Consider the following 13,237-nt stretch of genomic DNA (forward strand, 5'->3'; position numbering starts at 1 on the left):
AAGTGCTTTGAGGCCAACGGTAGAAAAGGAAATATCTTCGTAGAAAAAATAGACGGAATCATTCTCAGAAACTGCTTTGGGATGTGTGCATTGAACTCACAGTGTTTAACACTTCTTTTCATAGAGCACTTTGGAAACACTCAGTTTGTATTGTCTGCAACTGGATATTTGGACCTCTTTGAGGCATTCGTAGTAAACGGGATTTCTTCGTGTAATGATAGACAGTAGAATTCTCAGTGAATTTTTTTTGTGTGTGTGTATTCAACTCACAGGTTTGAACCTTCCTTTAGACAGTGCAGATTTGAAACACTTTTGTGGAATTTGCAAGGGGAGATTTCAAGCACCTTGAGGGCAGTGGTGGAAAAGGAAATATCTTCGTATAAAAACTAGACAGAATCATTCTCAGGAACTACTTTGTGATATGTGCATTCAACTCACAGTTTAACCTTTCTTTTCATAGATGAGTTTGGAAACAGTCAGTTTGTAAATTCTGCAACTGGATATTTGGACCTCTTTGAGGCTTTCGTTGGAAACGGGATTTCTTCACATAATGCTAGACAGAAGAATTCTCAGTAACTTCTTATGGGTTGTGTGTATTTAACTCAGAGAGTTGAACCTTCCTTTAGACAGAGCAGATTGGAAACACGCTTTTTGCAGAATTTTCAGGTGGAGATTTCAAGAGCCTTGAGGTCAATGGTAGAACACGGCTATCTTCGTATAAAAACTAGATGGAATCATTCTCAGAAACTACTTTGTGATGTGTGCGTTCAACTCACAGAGTTTAACCTTTGTTTTCATAGAGCAGTTTGGAAACACTCTGTTTGTGAAGTCTGCAAGTGGATATTTAAACGCCTTTGAGGCCTTCGTTGGAAACGGGATTTTTTCATATAAACCAGGACAGAAGAATTCTCAGAAACTTCTTGATTGTTATGTGTGCATTCAACTCACAGAGTTGAACCTTACTTTGGAAAGAGCAGTTTTCTAACACTCTTTTTGTAAAAGTTCCAAGTGAATACTTTGAGTGCTTTGAAGCCTACGGTTGACAACGAAATATCTTCATGTAAAAACTACAAAGAATCATTCGCAGAAACCACGTTGTGATCTCTGCATTCAACTCACAGAGTTGAACCTTTCTTCCTATAGAGCAGTTATGAAACAGTCTCTTTGTAGAATTTGCAAGGGTGTATTTAGAGGGCATTGAAGCCTACGGTAGAAAAAGAAATATCTTACCATAAAATCTAGTCAGAAGCATTCTCAGCAACTGAGTTGTGATGTTTGCATTCAACTCACAGAGTTCAACATTCCTTTTAATGGAGCGGTTTTGAAACACTCTTTTTGCAGAATCTGCAAGTGGATATTTGGACCTCTTTGAGGCCTTCGTTGGAAACGGGATTTCTTCATGTAATGCCAGACAGAAGAATTCTCAGTGAATTCTTTCTGTGTGTGTGTATTCAACTCACAGAGTTGAACGTTCCTTTAGACAGAGTAGATTGGAAACACTCTTTTTGTGGAATTTTCAGGTGGAGGTATCAAGCGCTTTGAGGCCAATGATAGAAAAGGAAATACCTTCGTATAATAATTAGACGGAATCATTCTCAGAAACTGCTTTGCAATGTGTGCGTTCAACTCACAGTGTTTAACCTTTCTTTTCATACAGTTGTTTCGAAACACTCTTTTTGCAGAATCTGCAAGTGGATATTTGGACCTCTTTGAAGTCTTCGTTGGAAATGGGATTTCTTCATATAATGCTAGACAGAAGACTTCTCAGTAACTGCTTTTTCTGGTGTGTATTCAACTCTCAGAGTTGAACTTTCCTTTAGAAACAGCAGATTTGAAACTCTCTTTTTGTGGAATTTGCAAGTGGAGATTTCAGAGCTTTGAGGCCAATGGTAGAAAAGGAAATATCTTCGTATGCAAACTAGACAGAATCATTCTCAGAAACTACTTTGGTACGTGTGTGTTCAACTCACAGTGTTTAACCTTTCTTTTCATAGAGCAGTTTGGAAACACTCAGTTTGTAAAGTCAGCAACTGGATATTTGGATGTATTTGAGGCCTTCGTTGGAAACGGGATTTCTTCATATAGTGCTAGACAGAAGAATTCTCAGTAACTTCTTTGGGTTGTGGGTATTCAAGTCACAGAGTTGAAGCTTCCTTTAGGCGGAGCAGATTGGAAACACTTTTTGTGGAATTTTCAGGGGGAGACTTCAAGCGCTTTGAAGTGAATGGTAGGAAAGGAAATATCTTCGTATAAAAACTAGACGGAGTCATTCTCAGAAACTACTTTGTGATGTTTGCGTTCAACTCACAGAGTTTAACGTTTCTTTTCATAGAGCAGTTTGGAAACACTCTTTTTGCAGAATCTGCAAGTGGATATTTGGACCTCTTTGTGGCCTTCGTTGGAAACGGGATTTTTCATATAATGCTAGACAGAAGAATTCTCAGTAACTTCTTTTTGTGGTGTGTATTCAACTCACAGAGTTGAACCTTCCTTTAGACAGAGCAGATTTGAAACTCTCTTTTTGTGGAATTTGCAAGTGGAGATTTCAAGCGCTTTGAGGCCAACGGCAGAAAAGGAAATATCTTCGTAGAAAAAATAGACGGAATCATTCTCAGAAACTGCTTTGGGATGTGTGCATTGAACTCACAGTGTTTAACACTTCTTTTCATAGAGCACTTTGGAAACACTCAGTTTGTAATGTCTGCAGCTGGATATTTGGACCTCTTTGAGGCCTTCGTAGTAATCGGGATTTCTTCGTGTAATGATAGACAATAGAATTCTCAGTGAATTTTTTTCTGTGTGTGTGTATTCAACTCTCAGGGTTGAACCTTCCTTTAGACAGTGCAGATTTGAAACACTTGTCTGTGGAATTTGCAAGGGGAGATTTCAAGCACTTTGAGGCCATTGGTGGAAAAGGAAATATCTTCGTATAAAAACTAGACAGAATGCATTCTCAGAGAACTATCTTTGTGATGTGTGCATTCAACTCACAGAGTTTAACCTTTCTTTTCATAGATGAGTTTGGAAACAGTCAGTTTGTAAATGCTGCAACTGGATATTTGGGCCTCTTTGAGGCTTTCGTTGGAAACGGGATTTCTTCACATAATGCTAGACAGATGAATTCTCAGTAACTTCTTTTGGGATGTATGTATTCAAATCAGAGAGTTGAACCTTCCTTTAGACAGAGCGGATTGGAAACACTCTTTTTGTGGAATTTGCAAGTGGAAAATTCTAGCAGTATGAGGCCAATGGTACAAAAGGAAATATCTTCGTATAAAAACTAGACAGTATCATTCTCAGAAACTGCTTTGTGATGTGTGTATTAAACTCACAGAGTTCAACATTTCTTTGCATAGAGCAGTTTGGAAAGACTTAGTTTGTGCAGTGTGCAAGTGGATATTTGGAACTCTTTGAGGCCTTCGTTGGAAACGGGATTTCTTCTTATAATTCTTGACAAAAGAATTCTCAGTAGCTTCTTTGTGTGTGTGTATTCAACTCACAGAGTTGAACCTTCCTTTAGACAGAGCAGATTGGAAACACTCTTTTTGTGGAATTTGCAAGTGGAGAATTCTAGCGCTTTGACGCCAATGGTAGAAAGGAAATATCTTCGTATAAAAACTAGACAGTATCATTCTCAGAAGCTACTTTGTGATGTGTGCGTTCAACTCACAGAGTTTAACCTTTCTTTTCATAGAGCAGTTTGGAAACCCTCTGTTTGTGAAGTCTGCAAGTGGATATTTAAACGTCTTTGAGGCCTTCGTTGGAAACGGGATTTTTTCATATAAACCAGGACAGAAGAATTCTCAGAAACTTCTTGATTGTTATGGGTGCATTCAACTCACAGAGTTGAACCTTACTTTGGAAAGAGCAGTTTTCTAACACTCTTTTTGTAAAAGTTCCAAGTGAATACTTTGAGTGCTTTGAAGCCTACGGTTGACAACGAAATATCTTCATGTAAAAACTACAAAGAATCATTCGCAGAAACCACGTTGTGATCTCTGCATTCAACTCACAGAGTTGAACCTTTCTTCCTATAGAGCAGTTATGAAACAGTCTCTTTGTAGAATTTGCAAGGGTGTATTTAGAGGGCATTGAAGCCTACGGTAGAAAAGGAAATATCTGACCATAAAATCTAGTCAGAAGCATTCTCAGAAACTGAGTTGTGATGTTTGCATTCAACTCACAGAGTTCAACATTCCTTTTAATGGAGCGGTTTTGAAACACTCTTTTTGCAGAATCTGCAAGTGGATATTTGGACCTCTTTGAGGCCTTCGTTGGAAACGGGATTTCTTCATGTAATGCCAGACAGAAGAATTCTCAGTGAATTCTTTCTGTGTGTGTGTATTCAACTCACAGAGTTGAACGTTCCTTTAGACAGAGTAGATTGGAAACACTCTTTTTGTGGAATTTTCAGGTGGAGGTATCAAGCGCTTTGAGGCCAATGATAGAAAAGGAAATACCTTCGTATAATAATTAGACGGAATCATTCTCAGAAACCGCTTTGCAATGTGTGCGTTCAACTCACAGTGTTTAACCTTTCTTTTCATACAGTTGTTTCGAAACACTCTTTTTGCAGAATCTGCAAGTGGATATTTGGACCTCTTTGAAGTCTTCGTTGGAAATGGGATTTCTTCATATAATGCTAGACAGAAGACTTCTCAGTAACTGCTTTTTCTGGTGTGTATTCAACTCTCAGAGTTGAACTTTCCTTTAGAAACAGCAGATTTGAAACTCTCTTTTTGTGGAATTTGCAAGTGGAGATTTCAGAGCTTTGAGGCCAATGGTAGAAAAGGAAATATCTTCGTATGCAAACTAGACAGAATCATTCTCAGAAACTACTTTGGTACGTGTGTGTTCAACTCACAGTGTTTAACCTTTCTTTTCATAGAGCAGTTTGGAAACACTCAGTTTGTAAAGTCAGCAACTGGATATTTGGATGTATTTGAGGCCTTCGTTGGAAACGGGATTTCTTCATATAATGCTAGACAGAAGAATTCTCAGTAACTTCTTTGGGTTGTGGGTATTCAAGTCACAGAGTTGAAGCTTCCTTTAGGCGGAGCAGATTGGAAACACTTTTTGTGGAATTTTCAGGGGGAGACTTCAAGCGCTTTGAAGTGAATGGTAGGAAAGGAAATATCTTCGTATAAAAACTAGACGGAGTCATTCTCAGAAACTACTTTGTGATGTTTGCGTTCAACTCACAGAGTTTAACGTTTCTTTTCATAGAGCAGTTTGGAAACACTCTTTTTGCAGAATCTGCAAGTGGATATTTGGACCTCTTTGTGGCCTTCGTTGGAAACGGGATTTTTCATATAATGCTAGACAGAAGAATTCTCAGTAACTTCTTTTTGTGGTGTGTATTCAACTCACAGAGTTGAACCTTCCTTTAGACAGAGCAGATTTGAAACTCTCTTTTTGTGGAATTTGCAAGTGGAGATTTCAAGCGCTTTGTGGCCAACGGTAGAAAAGGAAATATCTTCGTAGAAAAAATAGACGGAATCATTCTCAGAAACTGCTTTGGGATGTGTGCATTGAACTCACAGTGTTTAACACTTCTTTTCATAGAGCACTTTGGAAACACTCAGTTTGTAATGTCTGCAGCTGGATATTTGGACCTCTTTGAGGCCTTCGTAGTAAACGGGATTTCTTCGTGTAATGATAGACAATAGAATTCTCAGTGAATTTCTTTCTGTGTGTGTGTATTCAACTCACAGGGTTGAACCTTCCTTCAGACAGTGCAGATTTGAAACACTTTTCTGTGGAATTTGCAAGGGGAGATTTCAAGCACTTTGAGGCCATTGGTGGAAAAGGAAATATCTTCGTATAAAAACTAGACAGAATCATTCTCAGGAACTACTTTGTGATATGTGCATTCAACTCACAGGGTTTAACCTTTCTTTTCATAGATGAGTTTGGAAACAGTCAGTTTGTAAATTCTGCAACTGGATATTTGGACCTCTTTGAGGCTTTCGTTGGAAACGGGATTTCTTCACATAATGCTAGACAGAAGAATTCGCAGTAACTTCCTTTGGGATGTATGTATTGAACTCAGAGAGTTGAACCTTCCTTTAGACAGAGCGCATTGGAAACACGCTTTTTGCGGAATTTTCAGGTGGAGATTCCAAGAGCCTTGAGGCCAATGGTAGAAAAGGCTATCTTCGTATAAAAACTAGAGGGAATCATTCTCAGAAACTGCTTTGTGATGTGTGCATTAAACTCACAGGGTTGAACATTTCTTTGCATAGAGCAGTTTGGAAAGACTTAGTTTGTACAGTGTGCAAGTGGATATTTGGAACTCTTTGAGGCCTTCGTTGGAAACGGGATTTCTTCTTATAATTCTTGACAAAAGAATTCTCAGTAGCTTCTTTGTGTGTGTGTATTCAACTCACAGAGTTGAACCTGCCTTCAGGCAGAGCAGATTGGAAACCCTCTTTTTGTGGAATTTGCAAGTGGAGAATTCTAGCGCTTTGACGCCAATGGTAGGAAAGGAAATATCTTCGTATAAAAATTGGACAGTATCATTCTCAGAAACTACTTTGTGATGTGTGCGTTCAACTCACAGAGTTTATCCTTTCTTTTCATAGAGCAGTTTGGAAACACTCTGTTTGTGAAGTCTGCAAGTGGATATTTAAACGTCTTTGAGGCCTTCGTTGGAAACGGGATTTTTTCATATAAACCAGGACAGAAGAATTCTCAGAAACTTCTTGGTTGTTATGTGTGCATTCAACTCACAGAGTTGAACCTTACTTTGGAAAGAGCAGTTTTTGAACACTCTTTTTGTAAAAGTTCCAAGTGAATACTTTGAGTGCTTTGAAGCCTACGGTAGACAACGAAATATCTTCATGTAAAAACTACAAAGAATCATTCGCAGAAACCACGTTGTGATCTCTGCATTCAACTCACAGAGTTCAACCTTTCTTCCTATAGAGCAATTATTAAACAGTCTCTTTGTAGAATTTGCAAGGGTGTATTTAGAGGGCATTGAGGCCTACGGTAGAAAAGGAAATATCTGACCATAAAATCTAGTCAGAAGCATTCTCAGAAACTGAGTTGTGATGTTTGCATTCAACTCACAGAGTTCAACATTCCTTTTAATAGAGCGGTTTTGAAACACTCTTTTTGCAGAATCTGCAAGTGGATATTTGGACCTCTTTGAGGCCTTCGTTGGAAACGGGATTTCTTCATGTAATGCCAGACAGAAGAATTCTCAGTGAATTCTTTCTGTGTGTGTGTATTCAACTCACAGAGTTGAACGTTCCTTTAGACAGAGTAGATTGGAAACACTCTTTTTGTGGAATTTTCAGGTGGAGGTATCAAGCGCTTTGAGGTCAATGATAGAAAAGGAAATACCTTCGTATAATAATTAGACGGAATCATTCTCAGAAACTGCTTTGCAATGTGTGCGTTCAACTCACAGTGTTTAACATTTCTTTTCATACAGTTGTTTCGAAAAACTCTTTTTGCAGAATCTGCAAGTGGATATTTGGACCTCTTTGAAGTCTTCGTTGGAAATGGGATTTCTTCATATAATGCTAGACAGAAGACTTCTCAGTAACTGCTTTTTCTGGTGTGTATTCAACTCTCAGAGTTGAACTTTCCTTTACAAACAGCAGATTTGAAACTCTCTTTTTTTGGAATTTGCAAGTGGAGATTTCAAACTTTGAGGCCAATGGTAGAAAAGGAAATATCTTCGTATGCAAACTAGACAGAATCATTCTCAGAAACTACTTTGGTACGTGTGTGTTCAACCCACAGTGTTTAACCTTTCCTTTCATAGAGCAGTTTGGAAACACTCAGTTTGTAAAGTCAGCAACTGGATATCTGGATGTATTTGAGGCCTTCGTTGGAAACGGGATTTCTTCATGTAGTGCTAGACAGAAGAATTCTCAGTAACTTCTTTGGGTTGTGGGTATTCAACTCACAGAGCTGAAGCTTCCTTTAGGCGGAGCAGATTGGAAACACTTTTTGTGGAATTTTCAGGGGGAGACTTCAAGCGCTTTGAGGCCAACGGTAGAAAAGGAAATATCTTCGTATAAAAACTAGACGGAGTCATTCTCAGAAACTACTTTGTGATGTTTGCGTTCAACTCACAGAGTTTAACGTTTCTTTTCATAGAGCAGTTTGGAAACACTCTTTTTGCAGAATCTGCAAGTGGATATTTGGACTTCTTTGTGGCCTTCGTTGGAAACGGGATTTTTCATATAATGCTAGACAGAAGAATTCTCAGTAACTTCTTTTTGTGGTGTGTATTCAACTCACAGAGTTGAACCTTCCTTTAGACAGAGCAGATTTGAAACTCTCTTTTTGTGGAATTTGCAAGTGGAGATTTCAAGCGCTTTGAGGCCAACGGCAGAAAAGGAAATATCTTCGTAGAAAAAATAGACGGAATCATTCTCAGAAACTGCTTTGGGATGTGTGCATTGAACTCACAGTGTTTAACACTTCTTTTCATAGAGCACTTTGGAAACACTCAGTTTGTAATGTCTGCAGCTGGATATTTGGACCTCTTTGAGGCCTTCGTGGTAAACGGGATTTCTTCGTGTAATGATAGACAATAGAATTCTCAGTGAATTTTTTTCTGTGTGTGTGTATTCAACTCACAGGGTTGAACCTTCCTTTAGACAGTGCAGATTTGAAACACTTGTCTGTGGAATTTGCAAGGGGAGATTTCAAGCACTTTGAGGCCATTGGTGGAAAAGGAAATATCTTCGTATGAAAACTAGACAGAATCATTCTCAGGAACTACTTTGTGATATGTGCATTCAACTCCCAGAGTTTAACCTTTCTTTTCATAGATGAGTTTGGAAACAGTCAGTTTGTAAATTCTGCAACTGGATATTTGGACCTCTTTGAGGCTTTCGTTGGAAACGGGATTTCTTCACATAATGCTAGACAGAAGAATTCTCAGTAACTTCTTTTGGGATGTATGTATTCAAATCAGAGAGTTGAACCTTCCTTTAGACAGAGCGGATTGGAAACACTCTTTTTGTGGAATTTGCAAGTGGAAAATTCTAGCAGTATGAGGCCAATGGTACAAAAGGAAATATCTTCGTATAAAAACTAGACAGTATCATTCTCAGAAACTGCTTTGTGATGTGTGTATTAAACTCACAGAGTTTAACCTTTCTTTTCATAGAGCAGTTTGGAAACCCTCTGTTTGTGAAGTCTGCAAGTGGATATTTAAACGTGTTTGAGGCCTTCGTTGGAAACGGGATTTTTTCATATAAACCAGGACAGAAGAATTCTCAGAAACTTCTTGATTGTTATGTGTGCATTCAACTCACAGAGTTGAACCTTACTTTGGAAAGAGCAGTTTTCTAACACTCTTTTTGTAAAAGTTCCAAGTGAATACTTTGAGTGCTTTGAAGCCTACGGTTGACAACGAAATATCTTCATGTAAAAACTACAAAGAATCATTCGCAGAAACCACGTTGTGATCTCTGCATTCAACTCACAGTGTTGAACCTTTCTTCCTATAGAGCAGTTATGAAACAGTCTCTTTGTAGAATTTGCAAGGGTGTATTTAGAGGGCATTGAAGCCTACGGTAGAAAAGGAAATATCTTACCATAAAATCTAGTCAGAAGCATTCTCAGAAACTGAGTTGTGATGTTTGCATTCAACTCACAGAGTTCAACATTCCTTTTAATGGAGCGGTTTTGAAACACTCTTTTTGCAGAATCTGCAAGTGGATATTTGGACCTCTTTGAGGCCTTCGTTGGAAACGGGATTTCTTCATGTAATGCCAGACAGAAGAATTCTCAGTGAATTCTTTCTGTGTGTGTGTATTCAACTCACAGAGTTGAACGTTCCTTTAGACAGAGTAGATTGGAAACACTCTTTTTGTGGAATTTTCAGGTGGAGGTATCAAGCGCTTTGAGGCCAATGATAGAAAAGGAAATACCTTCGTATAATAATTAGACGGAATCATTCTCAGAAACCGCTTTGCAATGTGTGCGTTCAACTCACAGTGTTTAACCTTTCTTTTCATACAGTTGTTTCGAAACACTCTTTTTGCAGAATCTGCAAGTGGATATTTGGACCTCTTTGAAGTCTTCGTTGGAAATGGGATTTCTTCATATAATGCTAGACAGAAGACTTCTCAGTAACTGCTTTTTCTGGTGTGTATTCAACTCTCAGAGTTGAACTTTCCTTTAGAAACAGCAGATTTGAAACTCTCTTTTTGTGGAATTTGCAAGTGGAGATTTCAGAGCTTTGAGGCCAATGGTAGAAAAGGAAATATCTTCGTATGCAAACTAGACAGAATCATTCTCAGAAACTACTTTGGTACGTGTGTGTTCAACTCACAGTGTTTAACCTTTCTTTTCATAGAGCAGTTTGGAAACACTCAGTTTGTAAAGTCAGCAACTGGATATTTGGATGTATTTGAGGCCTTCGTTGGAAACGGGATTTCTTCATATAATGCTAGACAGAAGAATTCTCAGTAACTTCTTAGGGTTGTGGGTATTCAATTCACAGAGTTGAAGCTTCCTTTAGGCGGAGCAGATTGGAAACACTTTTTGTGGAATTTTCAGGGGGAGACTTCAAGCGCTTTGAAGTGAATGGTAGAAAAGGAAATATCTTCGTATATAAACTAGACAGAGTCATTCTCAGAAACTACTTTGTGATGTTTGCGTTCAACTCACAGAGTTTAACGTTTCTTTTCATAGAGCAGTTTGGAAACACTCTTTTTGCAGAATCTGCAAGTGGATATTTGGACCTCTTTGTGGCCTTCGTTGGAAACGGGATTTTTCATATAATGCTAGACAGAAGAATTCTCAGTAACTTCTTTTTGTGGTGTGTATTCAACTCACAGAGTTGAACCTTCCTTTAGACAGAGCAGATTTGAAACTCTCTTTTTGTGGAATTTGCAAGTGGAGATTTCAAGCGCTTTGAGGCCAACGGTAGAAAAGTAAATATCTTCGTAGAAAAAATAGACGGAATCATTCTCAGAAACTGCTTTGGGATGTGTGCATTGAACTCACAGTGTTTAACACTTCTTTTCATAGAGCACTTTGGAAACACTCAGTTTGTAATGTCTGCAGCTGGATATTTGGACCTCTTTGAGGCCTTCGTAGTAAACGGGATTTCTTCGTGTAATGATAGACAATAGAATTCTCAGTGAATTTTTTTCTGTGTGTGTGTATTCAACTCACAGGGTTGAACCTTCCTTTAGACAGTGTAGATTTGAAACACTTGTCTGTGGAATTTGCAAGGGGAGATTTCAAGCACTTTGAGGCCATTGGTGGAAAAGGAAATATCTTCGTATAAAAACTAGACAGAATCATTCTCAGGAACTACTTTGTGATATGTGCATTCAACTCCCAGAGTTTAACCTTTCTTTTCATAGATGAGTTTGGAAACAGTCAGTTTGTAAATTCTGCAACTGGATATTTGGACCTCTTTGAGGCTTTCGTTGGAAACGGGATTTCTTCACATAATGCTAGACAGAAGAATTCTCAGTAACTTCTTTTGGGATGTATGTATTCAAATCAGAGAGTTGAACCTTCCTTTAGACAGAGCGGATTGGAAACACTCTTTTTGTGGAATTTGCAAGTGGAAAATTCTAGCAGTATGAGGCCAATGGTACAAAAGGAAATATCTTCGTATAAAAACTAGACAGTATCATTCTCAGAAACTGCTTTGTGATGTGTGTTTTAAACTCACAGAGTTGAACATTTCTTTGCATAGAGCAGTTTGGAAAGACTTAGTTTGTGCAGTGTGCAAGTGGATATTTGGAACTCTTTGAGGCCTTCGTTGGAAACGGGATTTCTTCTTATAATTCTTGACAAAAGAATTCTCAGTAGCTTCTTTGTGTGTGTGTATTCAACTCACAGAGTTGAACCTTCCTTTAGACAGAGCAGATTGGAAACACTCTTTTTGTGGAATTTGCAAGTGGAGAATTCTAGCGCTTTGACGCCAATGGTAGAAAGGAAATATCTTCGTATAAAAACTAGACAGTATCATTCTCAGAAGCTACTTTGTGATGTGTGCGTTCAACTCACAGAGTTTAACCTTTCTTTTCATAGAGCAGTTTGGAAACCCTCTGTTTGTGAAGTCTGCAAGTGGATATTTAAACGTCTTTGAGGCCTTCGTTGGAAACGGGATTTTTTCATATAAACCAGGACAGAAGAATTCTCAGAAACTTCTTGATTGTTATGTGTGCATTCAACTCACAGAGTTGAACCTTACTTTGGAAAGAGCAGTTTTCTAACACTCTTTTTGTAAAAGTTCCAAGTGAATACTTTGAGTGCTTTGAAGCCTACGGTTGACAACGAAATATCTTCATGTAAAAACTACAAAGAATCATTCGCAGAAACCAACGTTGTGATCTCTGCATTCAACTCACAGAGTTGAACCTTTCTTCCTATAGAGCAGTTATGAAACAGTCTCTTTGTAGAATTTGCAAGGGTGTATTTAGAGGGCATTGAAGCCTACGGTAGAAAAGGAAATATCTTACCATAAAATCTAGTCAGAAGCATTCTCAGAAACTGAGTTGTGATGTTTGCATTCAACTCACAGAGTTCAACATTCCTTTTAATGGAGCGGTTTTGAAACACTCTTTTTGCAGAATCTGCAAGTGGATATTTGGACCTCTTTGAGGCCTTCGTTGGAAACGGGATTTCTTCATGTAATGCCAGACAGAAGAATTCTCAGTGAATTCTTTCTGTGTGTGTGTATTCAACTCACAGAGTTGAACGTTCCTTTAGACAGAGTAGATTGGAAACACTCTTTTTGTGGAATTTTCAGGTGGAGGTATCAAGCGCTTTGAGGCCAATGATAGAAAAGGAAATACCTTCGTATAATAATTAGACGGAATCATTCTCAGAAACCGCTTTGCAATGTGTGCGTTCAACTCACAGTGTTTAACCTTTCTTTTCATACAGTTGTTTCGAAACACTCTTTTTGCAGAATCTGCAAGTGGATATTTGGACCTCTTTGAAGTCTTCGTTGGAAATGGGATTTCTTCATATAATGCTAGACAGAAGACTTCTCAGTAACTGCTTTTTCTGGTGTGTATTCAACTCTCAGAGTTGAACTTTCCTTTAGAAACAGCAGATTTGAAACTCTCTTTTTGGGAATTTGCAAGTGGAGATTTCAGAGCTTTGAGGCCAATGGTAGAAAAGGAAATATCTTCGTATGCAAACTAGACAGAATCATTCTCAGAAACTACTTTGGTACGTGTGTGTTCAACTCACAGTGTTTAACCTTTCTTTTCATAGAGCAGTTTGGAAACAC

General features: G+C 38.3%; 1 annotated feature.

The window, feature by feature from the left end:
* Positions 1 to 13,237: part of a centromere (Linear centromere model derived predominantly from reads generated in PMID: 17803354. This region does not represent an actual centromere sequence, as long-range ordering of repeats and unmapped WGS contigs is not provided by the model. For details of model production, see http://arxiv.org/abs/1307.0035.) that runs on past both edges of the window.

This window comes from Homo sapiens, chromosome 3 (genome assembly GCF_000001405.40).
Source record: "Homo sapiens chromosome 3, GRCh38.p14 Primary Assembly".
Taxonomy (NCBI): Eukaryota; Metazoa; Chordata; class Mammalia; order Primates; family Hominidae; genus Homo; species Homo sapiens.